The following is a 15,150-nucleotide window of genomic DNA, read 5'->3' as shown; positions in this document are numbered from 1 at the left end:
CCATCTGCCTCAGGGCTTACACTTATCATTCCGTCTGCCTGGCTGCTCTTTCCCGAGATATTCCCTCAGCTCACCATCTCATGCCACGTTGACTTCTCCTCCTATATCTGAGCAGAAAATCACACCCCCCATCATATTTATTATCCACCTTTACTTTTCCCCAGAGCACTTAAAACTGTCTTTTTATACTGTACATTTATTTCTTCATTTATTGTCTGTCTTCCCTAATAAAATGTAGGTGCCATCCTTTTTATTTCTCTTTCTCTGCTGTGTTGCCAGAGCCAATATCTGGCATATAAAAGATAGTTAGTAAATATTAGTTGAGTGAATAAATGAATTAAAAATGCTTTCTTGTTCTGCATCCTGTTTCTTTCAATAATTCTCAAATGCCGGTGTCAGACTTTTCAGAGCTCCATGCCATATGGTAAAAATTCTACAAATGCAATCTTCACCTTTCTTAAACCCTGTTCACATGGGACTGTCACTACTCCTATTTAAACATGCCTCCAGAACCTACGTGAGGTACTGAATCAAACACAAAGAGTTACAAATGAAAGAAATAAAGATCTGATAATGAAGGGATAGACTTGAGAATTTTCTCCTCTTTTGATTTATTCTCTTATAATTCATGTGAGACCTGTGTATTCATTTTATTGCTCAGTACTCTATATACTTCTTTTTTTCTAACTGCTTTACATCCACCAAAAAAATAGACTTTCAAGAGAACAAATCATACCTTCTCCACTTTACATTCCTTCCTCTGATCTAGAGCTTTTTATTTTCCTCTTTACCTCTGATTTACCAGGCTTTTCCAATGGTTAAACATTAGCTTTGCATACTATAGTTTTATCATGATTAAATATAAAAGAGGGACCCTCCCTCCTTCACAGTTGGGCTAACATCAGAGAATGGCAAAGAACAGCTTTTTAGTGTTCATTCCACTCATTCCTAGGAAGCCTCTCTGTTCTCACTCAGATGAGAAACTTTCCAGGCTTTGTCCCAAAACAAAGCTTAAATGTTTTGATTTGAAATCCAGGTCTAACCTGTTTTAAATCAACTTTCTGCAAAAGACCATTTGTGTATCTGTCTGAATGCCAATATTTACCTAAAGCAGCTTCAGGGAACATGGTTTAAAACACACAGCAGACTTGAACAGCACCTAACCAGGAAAGATGCCTGTTCTGCTTGGGATGTGAAAAGTCTCTTTCAGTGAAAATAGTCACCAAGCTTGATCTTCCATTCCTGGATGTGGTAGATGTGAGGGAGACCAGAGGAGGAGTTCAGCATATTCACATGCATGAACACAGCTTTCTCCTCACACGTTTTAAATTTGCATAGCAAAGAAGAGCAATCACATCAGGAAAGAAAGGTCTAATGGGATGTCTGTGTCAAAGCAAGGAGTATGAAACTGGACAGGACACTCACAAACTCTTTGAACCCAGGAACAACAGCATCCAAATGCCCAGGGCTGGTGTCTTCTATGGGACAGAATTTGAAAGGCATTATCTTCCCAAATTTCTCTCTCATGTTAGCACATTGCACCTTTCCTAAGAGCCTCTACCACTACTGCCATTCCTCTGGGTTAACAGTGGAAATGAGATGACTGTGTCCTCATATGTCAAACTGCACCAATCTTGTTCCCACCAGAGAGGAAGTGTTCGGGAGGGAAGGGGGGCTGTGCCTTCTCTCACCATGAACACTTGATCATAGATTAGCTTTTCCTATCTGCAAGGGTCCATCCTGGCAGCCTTTCCCAACATTTCTACCACCGCGGATCCCTTTTTCGGTATCTTCTATATGGATCCCATGTTTTGAATGATTCTGCCTTGCTAATCTATATTTATTACCAAACATTAATTCATTTTCCTATTTTTCCCACATATGAAAAATACATCTAAAAATCAGAGCTTCTGATCAACATAAATAGCCAGGGCCATTGGTATTAATATAACTTTATTTATTTTTAATATAATGTTAGTCAAAAATAAAAGAATATATATTGGAAACTGTGTGCCTTAATGTGAGTTATAGATGTGTAGTATAATTAGGAATGTATCTGGTCTTTGCACTGGTTCTTGGCATAGAGCTTCAAAAACCCTTGGAATTTCCTGAGTGATAGGAGTGACTTTGTGATGCAATTGGGGTGACTCATGGTAGACCCTTAGATAGCCTTAGAATGATGGCTGGTCTCCAGAAAGATTAGCCCTGTGATCACAGGGTTGCAACTCTGGTCAGCCAGACCTCTGAGGAGGAAAGAGGGGCTGGATATTGAGTTCAATCATGTAACAAATAATTTAATCAATCATTCGTGTCTACATAATGGAACTCCAATTACAATTCTGGACACTGAGGCTCAGAGGAGCTTCCTGGTTATTGAACACACTGACACAAAGGAGGGTGAGGTGCCCTGATGCCACAGGGAGAGGGCATGGAGGCTCTGGGTCCAGGACCCTTCCAGAGCTTGCCCATGGGTATCCCTCATAATAAACTTGCATTCATAAGGATAGCACTTTCAGTGAGTTCTGTGAATCATTCTAGGGAATTCTTTAATTTCAGAGGGTCATGAAAACTCCTAAATTTATAGCCAGTTGGCCAGAAGTGCAGGTGATTCCCGACACTTGAACTGACATCTGAAGTGAGGGCAGTTTTGCAGAGGACTGAACCCTTAATCCTGTGGAATCTGATGCTAATGCTGGGTAGTTAGTGTCAGAACTGTATTCCAGTATGCCCACTAGGAGTGGAAAGGGAGTATTTTATGTCTTTAGAAATATATATGTGTTTAAAATATTATAAAATATTGAAAACAAGAGTGGTCAGAAGGAATCTGATTGAGGACATGACATCTCTTTTAGATGGCTGAAAGAACCATTCCAATGGGGAGAGGGGGCTATTGATGTGTAATAAAATCAGGCCCAGGAAATAGGCAGAAGCCCCTCTACAAAAACAGTTGCAGCGATATTATTTGGCAAGAAATACATTTTAGAATAAAATTAATATATTGAAATCATGCTGATTAAAACTAACATTTATTGAGTGCTCACTCCATGCCAGGCACTGCTAATACATTTTACATGAACTGGCTTAATGCTTACAAACCGTAGATGAGATAAGCACTATTACCCTACCTGTTTTATAGATGAGGAAACTGAAGTAGAGAAAGACTAAGCAATTTGCTCAAGAGCCTACCTTTTAAATGATTAGGGAGTTCTGAAAGGGAGAGTTACAATTTTGGTTAGACTGTCTTCATTCTGCTCCCAGCAGAGCCTGTCGCACTAGGTACTTGCTGCTTTAATTGTTTAACTGTTTTGGATGAACTTCAAAACAAAGTTAGTAGGCATTGTATTTAGGTAATATATTTTTATAAAACTTCTCTTATCCCTTGGTTGCAGAGTAGCTCTATATTCCCTTTCCTCATTTTGTAAATTAGAGTTTGGAGTGGTGAAAGGAGAATGTATCCCAAGTTAGGATGTTACTAACAGTTCATGGTGATTACAATGATTGTGAGTTAATTTAAAAAAATTTTAGCACCACTGGGTGTGGTGGCTCACACCTGTAATCCCAACACTTCCGAAGGCCAATGTGGGTGGATCAGCTGAGCTCAGGAGTTCAAGACCAGCCTGGGCAACACAGTGAATTCCCATCTCTATAAAAAAATTTTAAAAATTAGCTGGGCATGGTGGGGGCATGCCTGTGGTCCCACCTACTCAGGAGACTGAGGCAGTAGGATCGCTTGAGCCCAGGAGGTTGAGGCTGCAGCAAGCCGTGATTGCACCACTGCACTCCAGCCTGAATGACAGTGAAGCTCTGTCAAAAAAAAATAAAGAAATAAAGAAAGAAAAATTCTAGTACCATAATAAAAATTCTAATTTGAGAGTTCAAACTAATAGGAATTACATTTATTATTATTCTGTAAATGTAAGTTAGGAATTGATCAAGGAGGAAAGAGCTCAGAGTATTTACCTAAGAAAGCCAGCATTGTATAACAGAAGGTACGCAGAAAAAATACTGCTGTGGTAGCTTAATAAAAAGTCACGTTCTAAGACATTCTAATTTGTGGGCTTCCTGAGTGCTTGCTGTGGACCTACAGGCAACATATGACAAGGGACTCTAAGTCCAAGGAGTACAAACCAATAAGATATCAGGCCCTTTCATCAAGGGTGAAGTGGTAGAACATATGTCTGAGCAGAGATATTCAAAATTTGCAAACAAAGGAAATACTAATGCAACATAGATTGTTGATTCATCTGAAACAATGGTAGGGTTGCAACACTCCTAGATAGAATATAAAAGACCTAAGAAACCAGCCATTCTTTCATCTTCAATGGTAATGCATTGAAATTGCAACTAATGACTTCTCCCTTGATCATACCACTGTAATAAACTAATCATACACATAATCACGTATACAGTTTTGTAGAAATGCAATGACTTGATTGCTTATTTATGTTTGAGTGTGTATGTGGTTTTGTGTGGCAGAGAGAAAAAAAGAACACATAAAACTTTGTGATAAGAATGTTTACAATTGGAAATCTGAGGGTTTTTACCATCTTAACCATTTCTAAGTGTATAGTTCAGTAGTGGTTAGAATATTCACATTGTTTTGAAACATCTTCAGAACTTTTTCATCTTTCAATACTGAAACTCTACACATTAAACAACTCCTCTTTTTCTCTTTCCTTATTCATTCCTAACGACCAGTCTCCTTCTGTTCCTATGAATTTGACTGCTTTGGATACCTCTTATCAATGAAATCATACAGTATTTTGTCTCTTTGGGACTGGCTTTTTCACTTAACATACTGGGCTCAAGGCTCACCCACATAGTAGCATGTGACAGGGTTTTCTTCCTCTCACACAACATGTGTTTTTAAAAGACTGAATAATATTCCATTGTGTGTGTGTACCGCATTTTGTTTATTCATTCTTCTGTCAATGGAAACTGGGCTGCTTCTACCTCTTGGCTATTGTAAAAAGTACTGCAGTGAACATGGGTGTATAGATACCTTTCTTTAAGATCCTGCTTTCATTTCCTTTGGATATATACCCAGAAATGGGATTGCTGGAGCATGTGGTAGTTCTAGTTTTAATTTTTTGGAGAATTGCTATCTTGTTTTCCATAGCAGTTCTGAGTTGTTCCTAATGTTTGCTCTCTGAGCCACTCATAAGTATTAGTTCTTTAATTGAGGGAGAGGAGGTAAACAGGAAAAAAAAAAAAAAAAAAAGAAAAACCCAGAGACAGTAGGAGCCCTTCTTTGGCTAGGGCCTCTTTCTCCACGTGTGGGTTTGCCCTCCAGGCTCAGGTTAGCCTCCTGTTTTTGGCCCCTCCCCACCTCTTTCCTGCTATCTGATGCCAAATGCTACCATCCCTGATGTAGCCATACTCCTAGCCCCTGTGGTAGGCAGAACAACAGCCTCCTAAAATGTATACATCATAATCCTTGGGAATTGTCAATGTATTGTGTTTCATGATGAAAGAGACTTTGCAAACATAATTAAGGTTCCAGACCTTAAAACACAGGGATTAGCCCGTGTTATCCAGGTGGGCCCAATTTAATCACACGCACCCTTAAAAGCAGAGAAATGTCTTCAGCTGGAGGGAGAAGAGAATGGCAGAAAAGAGATCCCCCAGAAAGAAAAGCCAAAGAGATTCCAAGCATAAGTAAGATTTGATGCATCATTGCTGGTTCTGAGATGCAGGGGCCACATACAAGGACAGGCAGAGACCTCCAGGAGCCAAAGACAGCTTCTGCTGGCAGCCAGCAAGCACTAAGAACTCAATTCGACAACTACAAGGAACTAAATTCTACCAACAACCTAAAAGGGCTTGGAAGAGGATTCTTCCCAAAGTCTCCAGAAAGGAATGCAGTCCCAACAACACCTTCATTTTAGTGCTGTGTGACCCATTTCAGGCTTCTAACATATAGAACTGTGAGATAATAAATGGATGTTGTTTTAAATTGCTAAATTTATGATAATTTGTCATAGTGCAATAGGAAATGAATACACCCTTGATCACACGCACTTGGGTCTCTCCTAGCCCTTCAGAAATGTGCCACGCCTTTGAAGGTGTCAGCAGGAGAGCCTGCCCAAATAATTCCATGTTAATTTACTCATGGGCGAGGGCCAGAGGGCGACTTTTTTTTTTAACACCAGCATTTTGGAGAGATGCTTTTTTCATCTGATTCTATGATATGTTCATAAAAGCAGCAGGGATTTCAGATGAAAGATGAGAGTTTAGCCTCCTAGCCAGTGAGAAGGGAGTAACTTGGGCCAAACAAAGCCTTCCAACAGCACACCTTCCATCCATACGCCAGGCCAAGGGATGGTCACATCTCTGCACAGGCTTTTCTTTAAACTTGCCCTCCACCTTACTTATAAAATATAATGTATGCTCATGATTAAAAAAAAAAATCAAACAGTACAGAAGGTGATATATTGAAAAGTAAAATTCCTTTCTCACAATTCCACCTTTCCACAAAGTTTTGATGTAATAGTCTTTCCGTAAATTTTTTATTTTCTTTGTTCTTTCTTTTAAACAGAATCCCTCTGTACATATTACTCTATAAGTTGATTTTTTAAATTATTACATCTTGGGACTTTTTTAATGTCAATTCACATACAGCTGATCCACTTTTTTCCCATTCATTTTAATGATCACATAAAAATGCCTGTAAGTTATAAATGAGTAATTTACTTATTCCTACCCTATCGATGGACATTTATGCTGTCTGCATGTTTGTTTTCATTAATACAAACAAATGTACTTGGGCCCCTATTTTTTCAACCTTATGCAAGTTTATCTATAAGATACATACCCACAAGTGGAATTACTGGGTTTAAAGGACATGTGCATTTAAGGACTGAGAGATATTGCCAAAATACTATCCAAAAGTGTACCAAATTTACTCTCCCATGAACAGAGAATAAAAATATCACCTTGCCACATCCTCTACATTACTTTTTTTTTTTAACCTTCACCAATCTCTTAAGTAGAAAAGTGTTTCTCATCATGATATTTATGTTTTTTTCAATTCTGAGATGCAGGAGTTTTTTTTTTTTAATAGATAGGGTTTCACTCTGTCACCCAAGCTGGAGTACAGTGGTATGAACATGGCTCACTGCAGCCTCCACCTCTTGGGCTTAAGCGATCTTACCACCTGAGCCTCCCAAGTATCTAGGACCATGGGTACACCCCACAACGTTCAGCTAATTTTTAAAGTTTTTTTTTTTTTTTTTTAAGAGACTGGGTCTTGCCATATTACCCATGCTGGTCTCGAACTTCTGGGCTCAAATGATCCTCCCATCTTGGCCTCCCAAAATGCTGGGATTATAGGTGTGAGCCACTGTGTCCAACCTTGTAGCACCTTCTGATGTTATTGGACATTTATAATTCTTTTTATGTCCTGTTTATGTCCCTTACAACTTTTTCTGTCAAGTTCATTTTTTAAACCAATTTATTCAAGTTATTTGTATGTTAAGGAAATAAGTCTTTTGTCTAATGTGCTGCAAATATTTTTTCCCTGCGAGCTGTCTTCTGCCTCTACCAATGGGATTGTTGGCTGTCATAGTGATAAACTTGTATGTAGTTAAAATAGATCAATATTTTTCTTTTAGGCGTTTGGTTTTGTGTCACAGTTGTAAGCATCTTCCCCACTCCAAGAATATTCTTCAATCCATTCATATTTCTTTCTCTTTTTCTATTTTTTTGAGACGGAGTCTCACTCTGTCTCTCAGGCTGGAGTGCAGTGGCATGATCTCAGCTCACTGCAACCTCTGCCTCCCAGGTTCAGGCGATTCTCCTGCCTCAGCCTCCTGAGTAGCTGGGATTACAGGCATCTGCCATCGCACCGGGCTATTTTTGTATTTCTAGTAGAGACACGGTTTCACCATGTTGGCCAGGCTGGTCTCAAACTCCTGGCTTTAGGTGATCCACCCACCTCGGCCTCCCAAAGTGCTAGGATTACAGGTGTGAGCCACCACACCCGGCCCATTCATATTTCATCTTCTTCATTTCTGTATTTTATCCACATGGAAGTTATTTTATTGTAAGGAGAAAAAGGAATACAGATTTACTTTTTCCCCAAACAGCTAGAAGTTTTCCTAACATTTATTGAATAATCCGTCTCTTCTTCTCTGATATGTCATCTTTTTCATATAATAAATTCCCAAATTATATACTAAATTTATTATCTGATTTTGACCTTTCCGCCTTGGTGTCATCATAAGTTATTTTAACTATGTAACTTTACAATGCATTTTTAAAAATATTTTATTATTTTTGACATCCTCTGGCTTTTCTAGCATGTTAATTTTGCCAGATAAACTTAAAAACTTTCCTAAAATTTTCCTTGCTATCTTGACCTTCTGTGTTTTGGTTTGACTCATATATGTTACTGTGTTGTGAAGGCTTAATTTTTACTTACCCAGATAGATGCCATGATATCCCACCTTTGCCTTGAGCTGAGATCACACTAATCTATTAAAAGAAAACAATTAGTAAATGGTATCAATATGTGATTCAGAACACAATAATCTTAGTCCAACCCTTAATCTTGAATCCAGAAAACAGATGTCAACATTCACAGAAAAACCTTCTCAGGAAGAGCATATATCTGACATTGGGTATCCCATTTGCTAAACAAACATTTACTGAGCATCTACCATATGCAAGGGACTGTGCTAGACCTGTGAGGACTTCAAGACAAGAGACAGAAAAAAATCTTTGTACTTAAGATGCTTACAAATATACTTCCTGAAAAGCCAATTTTTGACTTATTTAAAGTCCAGGAGAACTCTGCTGATTACTGACAGGCTACCACTACGGGGATCAATAACAACAAAAACACAGGATTTTACTCCTCCTCACCAAATCAACACAAAGTTTAGCTGCCTTCAGTTGGATTCCTTGTGCTTGATTGTGAAACTCCATGTACATTTTACAAGGCTCCAAGCCTACAGTCTGTTATAAAGACACATCTGCTCTTTGAGGAGGTGGTCCAGTCCTTGGTGGGGTGCAGAGGTGAAAGGCACAGTTCTTTGATTGGGAAGCCAGACACATTTTTCTTAAATAGATATTATTCAAACATGCTGGCATATCTCCAGGGTTGATTTAGAAATGCAAGTTGCTCCCACCCTTCCTGGGAACAAAATATTCTAAAAATTCCCTGACACCCCCAGAGAAAAGTTCAATGGGAAATTACACTATTAGTCTCTGGAAATATTTCACCTTGGTTTTTTCAGGCTCTCTGTAGCCTAGGGCAGTCAACTCTCCAGTTAGAGTCTAATACTGCATCTCTCTAAATACATGCTCTTTGACTTATGAGGGGTTACAGCCAGATAAACTATTCTGAAGTCTAAAAATCAGAAGTCAAACCATCTGTACAGTGAAAACAAGGCATTATTGGTTCTCATTTTGCCTCTTAAAGCTAAACACAATTTCTTTGGGCCTCAATTTCCTCATCTGTAAAAAGTGAAGAAGGGGGTGTTGCCAGCATTGAACGAGGTCAGTTTCACAGGGCTGGAGATTCTTCTTATCTGTGTGCACTGGTGCACGGTAGATATTTAAAAAAAAAACTTATTGATTAAATGAATGATTTAATACAAGCCGCACAATCATCCAGTGAGTTAGGTATTACATCTTCGTTTTGCATATGAAGAAGCTGGAGCCCAGAGAGGTATGGTAATGTCCCACAGTCACACAGCTAGTGAGTGGACCCCTACTGCATCTAGGCAGCTAGACTCTAAAGGTATGAACCTAACCCCCATGCTTCTGCCTTAATCTGCTGCCTGGCCCACACCTGACCAAATCTGACACTTAATATGCATTGATCCAGCAGAACTGGAAAATTATTAAGAATTATTACTAATCTATCATTTAACTTTTAAGATGTAAAGAATTACTCCACAGCGAAGGCCAAATGACTTAAACAGAATTTCAATATATCCTTTCCTGAAAGGGATTACATCATTTCCTTTTACTTCCTCCTCTACGGTTATTTCTAAACAGGTTTCTCTACACAACCACAGAGTTCTGGGAACAAGATTCTGGTTTTCTTTACATTTAAAAATTCCCTTTCTGGTCAGTCTGAAGTTTTCCGTCTTCGTGAAAACCAAAGGTGGTATCTTCATGGAGTAACGTTTTAATTAGTTACATTTTAAAAAATGATGTTGGTGAACATAGTAAATGTATCTTTCCCGGAGGGCAGGGTCTTGCTGTCAGTGCTGAACACAAATCCTTGGAAAGAATTCGGCCTGGGCTATGCAATTTCGTATCAGTAGCCAGAGGGGCCTCCAGCGACCCAGAACCTCCCAGCACCTGCATACTTTCCTATATATGGTCATCTGCAATCAAGTATCCAAATCTTCCACCTGGTGACTCAAATACCAAGGGAATGATTCATATCTAGTCAATAGGATTCTGTTGCAAAGAAAACGGTTAGTCTTTTCAGGAAAAAGCAAACTTCTTGAACTTCCAACCCTCAATATGCAAATCCACTGTTTTCTACCTTCTAAAAAAAATAAGTAAAATAAAATAAATTGCCTATGTGAGGGGGAGAAGATGCTCACAGGATGGGTGCGATTCCAAGTCCACAGAGCAGACCTCTGAGCCAGCCCCGTCTGCCATGCCGGGGACCCGAGGAACCTTCCGACTCCCAGCTTTTTTCTGTCCCCTAGACCTTTAGGACTGGGGAGGCCGAGATGGCTAAGTGGATCCCTTACGCTGCTAGCTGTAATAAGCGAAGCTTTCAGGGAGCGAGGACAGCTGAGTATCAGCTTGGGCCCCACCAAGACCTGGGTGACCCACCCATGGCACGGCACTTTCCCCCCCGTGGGCCCAGTCTCCTCGACTCTGAAATGCAGGACTGAGGTCCCTCCAGCTCCCCACCCACGCAGCTGGGTTGGGGCCGGGCGCGGGCGCCAGCCGCCAGCCCTGCCCAGGGTCGAGCTGCACTCGCGGGGGAACTGGGCGAGGCGCCGCGACCTCCCCAAGCCACCCGTCAGCAGGCGGCTGTGGGCGAGGCTCGCGGGGACGCGCCGGGAGGCTGAACTTACCCAAAGCGCGGTGGGGGAAACTGGTGTGCGAGTAAACTGCGAACAAACTGCGAGCGAAGGTGTCAGCCGCGGGCGCAGGTGCTCCGCGCTGGCTCCGGGTCCGGATCGCGACCGCACCCCTTCCTCCTGCCCCTCCTCCGGCCTCTCGACTCCACCTGATTGCGGCCCCAGGCCCCGGGAAAGGGAAGCCGCGCCCTGCTGCCGCCGGGCTCTATCCCTGTACACAGGCGCCCCAGCTCTGCTCCCTCACCGGTCTCTAAGCTTCCCCACCCTTTTCTCCCTACGCCCTCATTTCGCTCTCGGTTTCCACTACACCTTTACTTTCTCAAATGTACTGCAATGCTTATTTTGTTCTAGGCAGTGTGGATTCGGAGATTAGACTGTCCCTATACCTAAGGAACTCACTGCGTGGCATAGGTGGCGGACACCTAACATTAATAACATTGATCTGGCATTTACTTTGTACCAGGCACTGTTCTAACTTCTTTAAGAATATGCGCGGATTTATTAGGTTGGTGCAAAAGTAATTGCGGTTTTTGCCATTAAAATGGCTCCGACAACAACTCTATGAGGTAGATACTATTATCCCCATTTTATAGATGAGGAAATTGAGATACAGAGACGTTGGGTAACTTCAGCCAATTTACACAGAAGGTAAATGCCAGAGCTAGTGTTTGGAACCCAACTATTTCAGTAATTCCTCTACTAAACGTGTTGACCCTCTGGTATGAGGATTCCAACCAAAGGCTCAGGGAGACGGTAACCTGGAAGGGCATTCTAGGCATTTGGAAGAGCAAAACAAATCATCGAGGCTAAAAGGTTAAAGCCCTACTCGTATGAGGGAATTATGAGCAGTTGTGTGCTGAAGGATGTAGAAAAAGTTACCATGTATTGAGTATCAGGCATTGAAGTGCTTGAATACCTTACCTCTTTTATCTTCAAGGGAACTCTAGGAGGTGCTATTTTTATCACAATTTGCAGAAGAGAAAACTGAGGCTTAGAAAAGTGAAGTGATTTATCCGAGACCACGTAAGTAAAAAGTATTGCTTGCACTCAGTCATCACTGGGCCCCTTATGTATTCACCCGAAGGATTTGAAAACTTACCTCCACAAACACCTGCACATGGATGTTTATAGTAGCTTTACTCCTAAGTATCAAAAGTCGGAAGCAACCAAGATGTAATTCGTAGGTGAATGGATAAATAAACTGTGATACATCTATACAATAGAATTTTATTCAGCACTGAAAAGAAATTAGCTATCAAGCTATAAAAACACATGGAAGAAACTTAAATGCATATTATTAAGAGAAAGAAGCCCATTTGAAAATGCTACACACTATGATTCCAACTATATGACATTCCAGAAAAGGCAACACTACGGAGACAGTAAAAAAAATCACTGGTTTCTAGGAGTTGAGAGGAGGTAGGGTGAACAGGTGGAGCACAGAGGATTTTTAGAGGATAAGCATGGCTGGAGCTGCTTGAGTGTGAGTTGAAGAGATTACAGTCTTGGTCCTTAAGGCTGAGTCCTGGGACCTAGAAACTCATTAGAAATGCAAATTCCCTGAAACCCTGCGCCATCAAGTGATTCTGATGCATCCTAAAGTTTGAGAACCACTGGTTTAAGAGGAGCTACAACGGAGAAGGCAGAAGTGGTCATGCTTAAAAGGCCAGTGCCCTGGGAGCCCTCTCAGATCTACAAATCCGAAGTGATGGGCTTTCTGCAAGAGAGAAGATAGGATGGTGTTCTGCATTCTGTTCTGCATAGTAATTCCTGACTCCCATTCAGACTTCACCACAATAAACTGTTAAATCCCATGTTACCTCAAAAAATTCTGAGATTAGCATGAAATGGGGGAAAATATTTATTATTATTTGTGCCAGACACTGGGTAATGCACTTGACGTACGTGATCTATGTCATGCTTACCAACTAGCTGTAAATTAGGTATGATTGCCTCTATTTTGCAGATACAGACACAGGCTCAGAGGGACTCAGTAAGTTCTACGAGTTGTATTCCAGGCAACTAGGAAGTCATAGGGCTAGATTTATAGCCAGAAGAAAATGAGTAACAGGTGATGTTTTACATGTAGGCTTTATTTTAATTGTTTAAACCATTCAGGATTTAACTTCTTTGATTTCCTGATGGTAACTTTAACAAATGCACTTTTATCATTTTTTGAGTTTTTCTAGTTGTATCAACAGCCCAATTACCACCATTTATATTAGAAACATGCTATGGCATATTATAAAACTATTTTTTCCCCAAAGGATGAGTTTTCTTGGAAGGAAATATTAGAGGATGCTGTTAGAATCCAGGTTTATGGTTATCCAGAAAAAGAATTCAGAAAAGGTTATTTAATAAAAGTTTCATTATTCTGAATACACAGAACTTTACAGGTTAGTAAAAAGGGAATTTTCCTATAGCATCCTGATCAAAAGAACAATTTAACAGCCAAATACAAATTTTTAAAGCAAAGTTATTGAGATATATTTAGAACATATGGTAAAATGTGAAGGAAAGACCGACTACGTGATTGTGGCTGTTGAATACATAGCTGCTGTTACAGTGATGTGTTGGAGCTGGGTTATACCAGCATGTGAAAGCCAGTTCCTGAATTTTCAGTTATTTCACAGCCAGTATTAATGTAGACATTATTACAAGTTAAATAAATACAATTGAATAAATTACGTTAAAAGCAAAGGTAATAGGTACTCAAAATTAACCACTTCCTAATTATTTCACATTTTATTATTATTTTTTTTATTATTTATTTATTTATTTATTTATTTATTTATTTATTTTTTAATTGATCATTCTTGGGTGTTTCTCGCAGAGGGGGATTTGGCAGGGTCACAGGACAATAGTGGAGGGAAGGTCAGCAGATAAACAAGTGAACAAAGGTCTCTGGTTTTCCTAGGCAGAGGACCCTGCGGCCTTCCGCAGTGTTTGTGTCCCTGGGTACTTGAGATTAGGGAGTGGTGATGACTCTTAAGGAGCATGCTGCCTTCAAGCCTCTGTTTAACAAAGCACATCTTGCACCGCCCTTAATCCATTCAAACCTGAGTGGACACAGCACATGTTTCAGAGAGCACAGGGTTGGGGGTAAGGTCACAGATCAACAGGATCCCAAGACAGAAGAATTTTTCTTAGTACAGAACAAAATGAAAAGTCTCCCATGTCTACTTCTTTCCACACAGACACGGCAACCATCCGATTTCTCAATCCTTTCCCCACCTTTCCCCCCTTTCTATTCCACAAAACCGCCATTGTCATCATGGCCCGTTCTCAATGAGCTGTTGGGTACACCTCCCAGACAGGGTGGTGGCTGGGCAGAGGGGCTCCTCACTTCCCAGTAAGGGCAGCCGGGCAGAGGCGCCCCTCACCTCCCTGACGGGGCGGCTGGCCGGGCAGGGGGCTGACCCCCCCACCTCCCTCCCAGATGGGGCGGCTGGCCGGGCAGAGGGGCTCCTCACTTCCCAGTAGGGGCGGCCGGGCAGAGGCACCCCTCACCTCCCGGACGGGGCGGCTGGCCGGGCGGGGGGCTGACCCCCCACCTCCCTCCCAGACAAGGCGGCTGGCCGGGTGGGGGGCTAACCCCCACCTCCCTCCGGGACGGGGTGGCTGGCCTGGTGGGGGCTGACCCCCCACCTCCCTCCCGGACGGGGTGGCTGCCGGGCGGAGACGCTCCTCACTTCCCAGACGGGGTGGCTGCCGGGCAGAGGGGGTCCTCACTTCTCAGACAGGGCGGCTGCCGGGCGGAGGGGCTCCTCACTGCTCAGACGGGGCGGTTGCCAGGCAGAGGGTCTCCTCACTTCTCAGACGGGGCGGCCGGGCAAAGACGCTCCTCACATCCCAAACGGGGCGGCAGGGCAGAGGCGCTCCCCACATCTCAGACCATGGGCTGCCGGGCAGAGACGCTCCTCACTTCCTAGACGGGATGGCGGCCCGGAAGAGGCGCTCCTCACTTCCTAGATGGGATGGCGGCCGGGCAGAGACGCTCCTCACTTTCCAGACTGGGCAGCCAGGCAGAGGGGCTCCTCACATCCCAGACGATGGGCGGCCAGGCAGAGACGCTCCTCACTTCCCAGACGGG

The 15,150-nt window shown here is 42.0% G+C and overlaps 1 protein-coding gene across 2 annotated transcripts in view, besides 3 other annotated features; it reads right to left on the bottom strand.

Annotated features, from left to right (window-relative positions):
• Window positions 1-11,141, bottom strand: part of ANXA3 (annexin A3) — a 58,678-nt gene extending 47,537 nt beyond the window's left edge. For both annotated transcript variants that reach the window (NM_005139.3, XM_047450154.1), the window contains exons 1-2: window positions 11,052-11,141; window positions 8,423-8,475 (exon numbers count right to left, since the gene is read on the bottom strand). In NM_005139.3, coding sequence (NP_005130.1) covers window positions 8,423-8,437 — 15 coding nt within the window. In that variant the 5' untranslated portion in view covers window positions 8,438-8,475; window positions 11,052-11,141. The remainder of the gene's footprint in view (window positions 1-8,422; window positions 8,476-11,051) is intronic.
• Window positions 9,522-10,721: an enhancer, noted in NCBI's record as "MED14-independent group 3 enhancer chr4:79473344-79474543 (GRCh37/hg19 assembly coordinates)". NCBI's record gives its function as "activates an origin of replication core promoter dependent on BRD2, BRD4, P300/CBP and CDK7 cofactors, and independent of MED14, by STARR-seq in HCT116 cells {active_cell/tissue: HCT116}" and the evidence as "EXISTENCE:reporter gene assay evidence [ECO:0000049][PMID:35650434]".
• Window positions 9,522-10,776: a biological region, named in NCBI's record as "MED14-independent group 3 enhancer GRCh37_chr4:79473344-79474543".
• Window positions 10,025-10,776: an enhancer, noted in NCBI's record as "OCT4-NANOG-H3K27ac hESC enhancer chr4:79473289-79474040 (GRCh37/hg19 assembly coordinates)". NCBI's record gives its function as "activates a minimal SCP1, AML or CMV promoter by ChIP-STARR-seq in naive H9 embryonic stem cells {active_cell/tissue: H9 hESC(naive)}" and the evidence as "EXISTENCE:reporter gene assay evidence [ECO:0000049][PMID:30033119]".
• Window positions 11,142-15,150: the final 4,009 nt, after the last annotated feature.

This window comes from Homo sapiens, chromosome 4, assembly GCF_000001405.40.
Source record: "Homo sapiens chromosome 4, GRCh38.p14 Primary Assembly".
Taxonomy (NCBI): Eukaryota; Metazoa; Chordata; class Mammalia; order Primates; family Hominidae; genus Homo; species Homo sapiens.
This window is presented reverse-complemented; position numbering and strand designations above follow the sequence as displayed.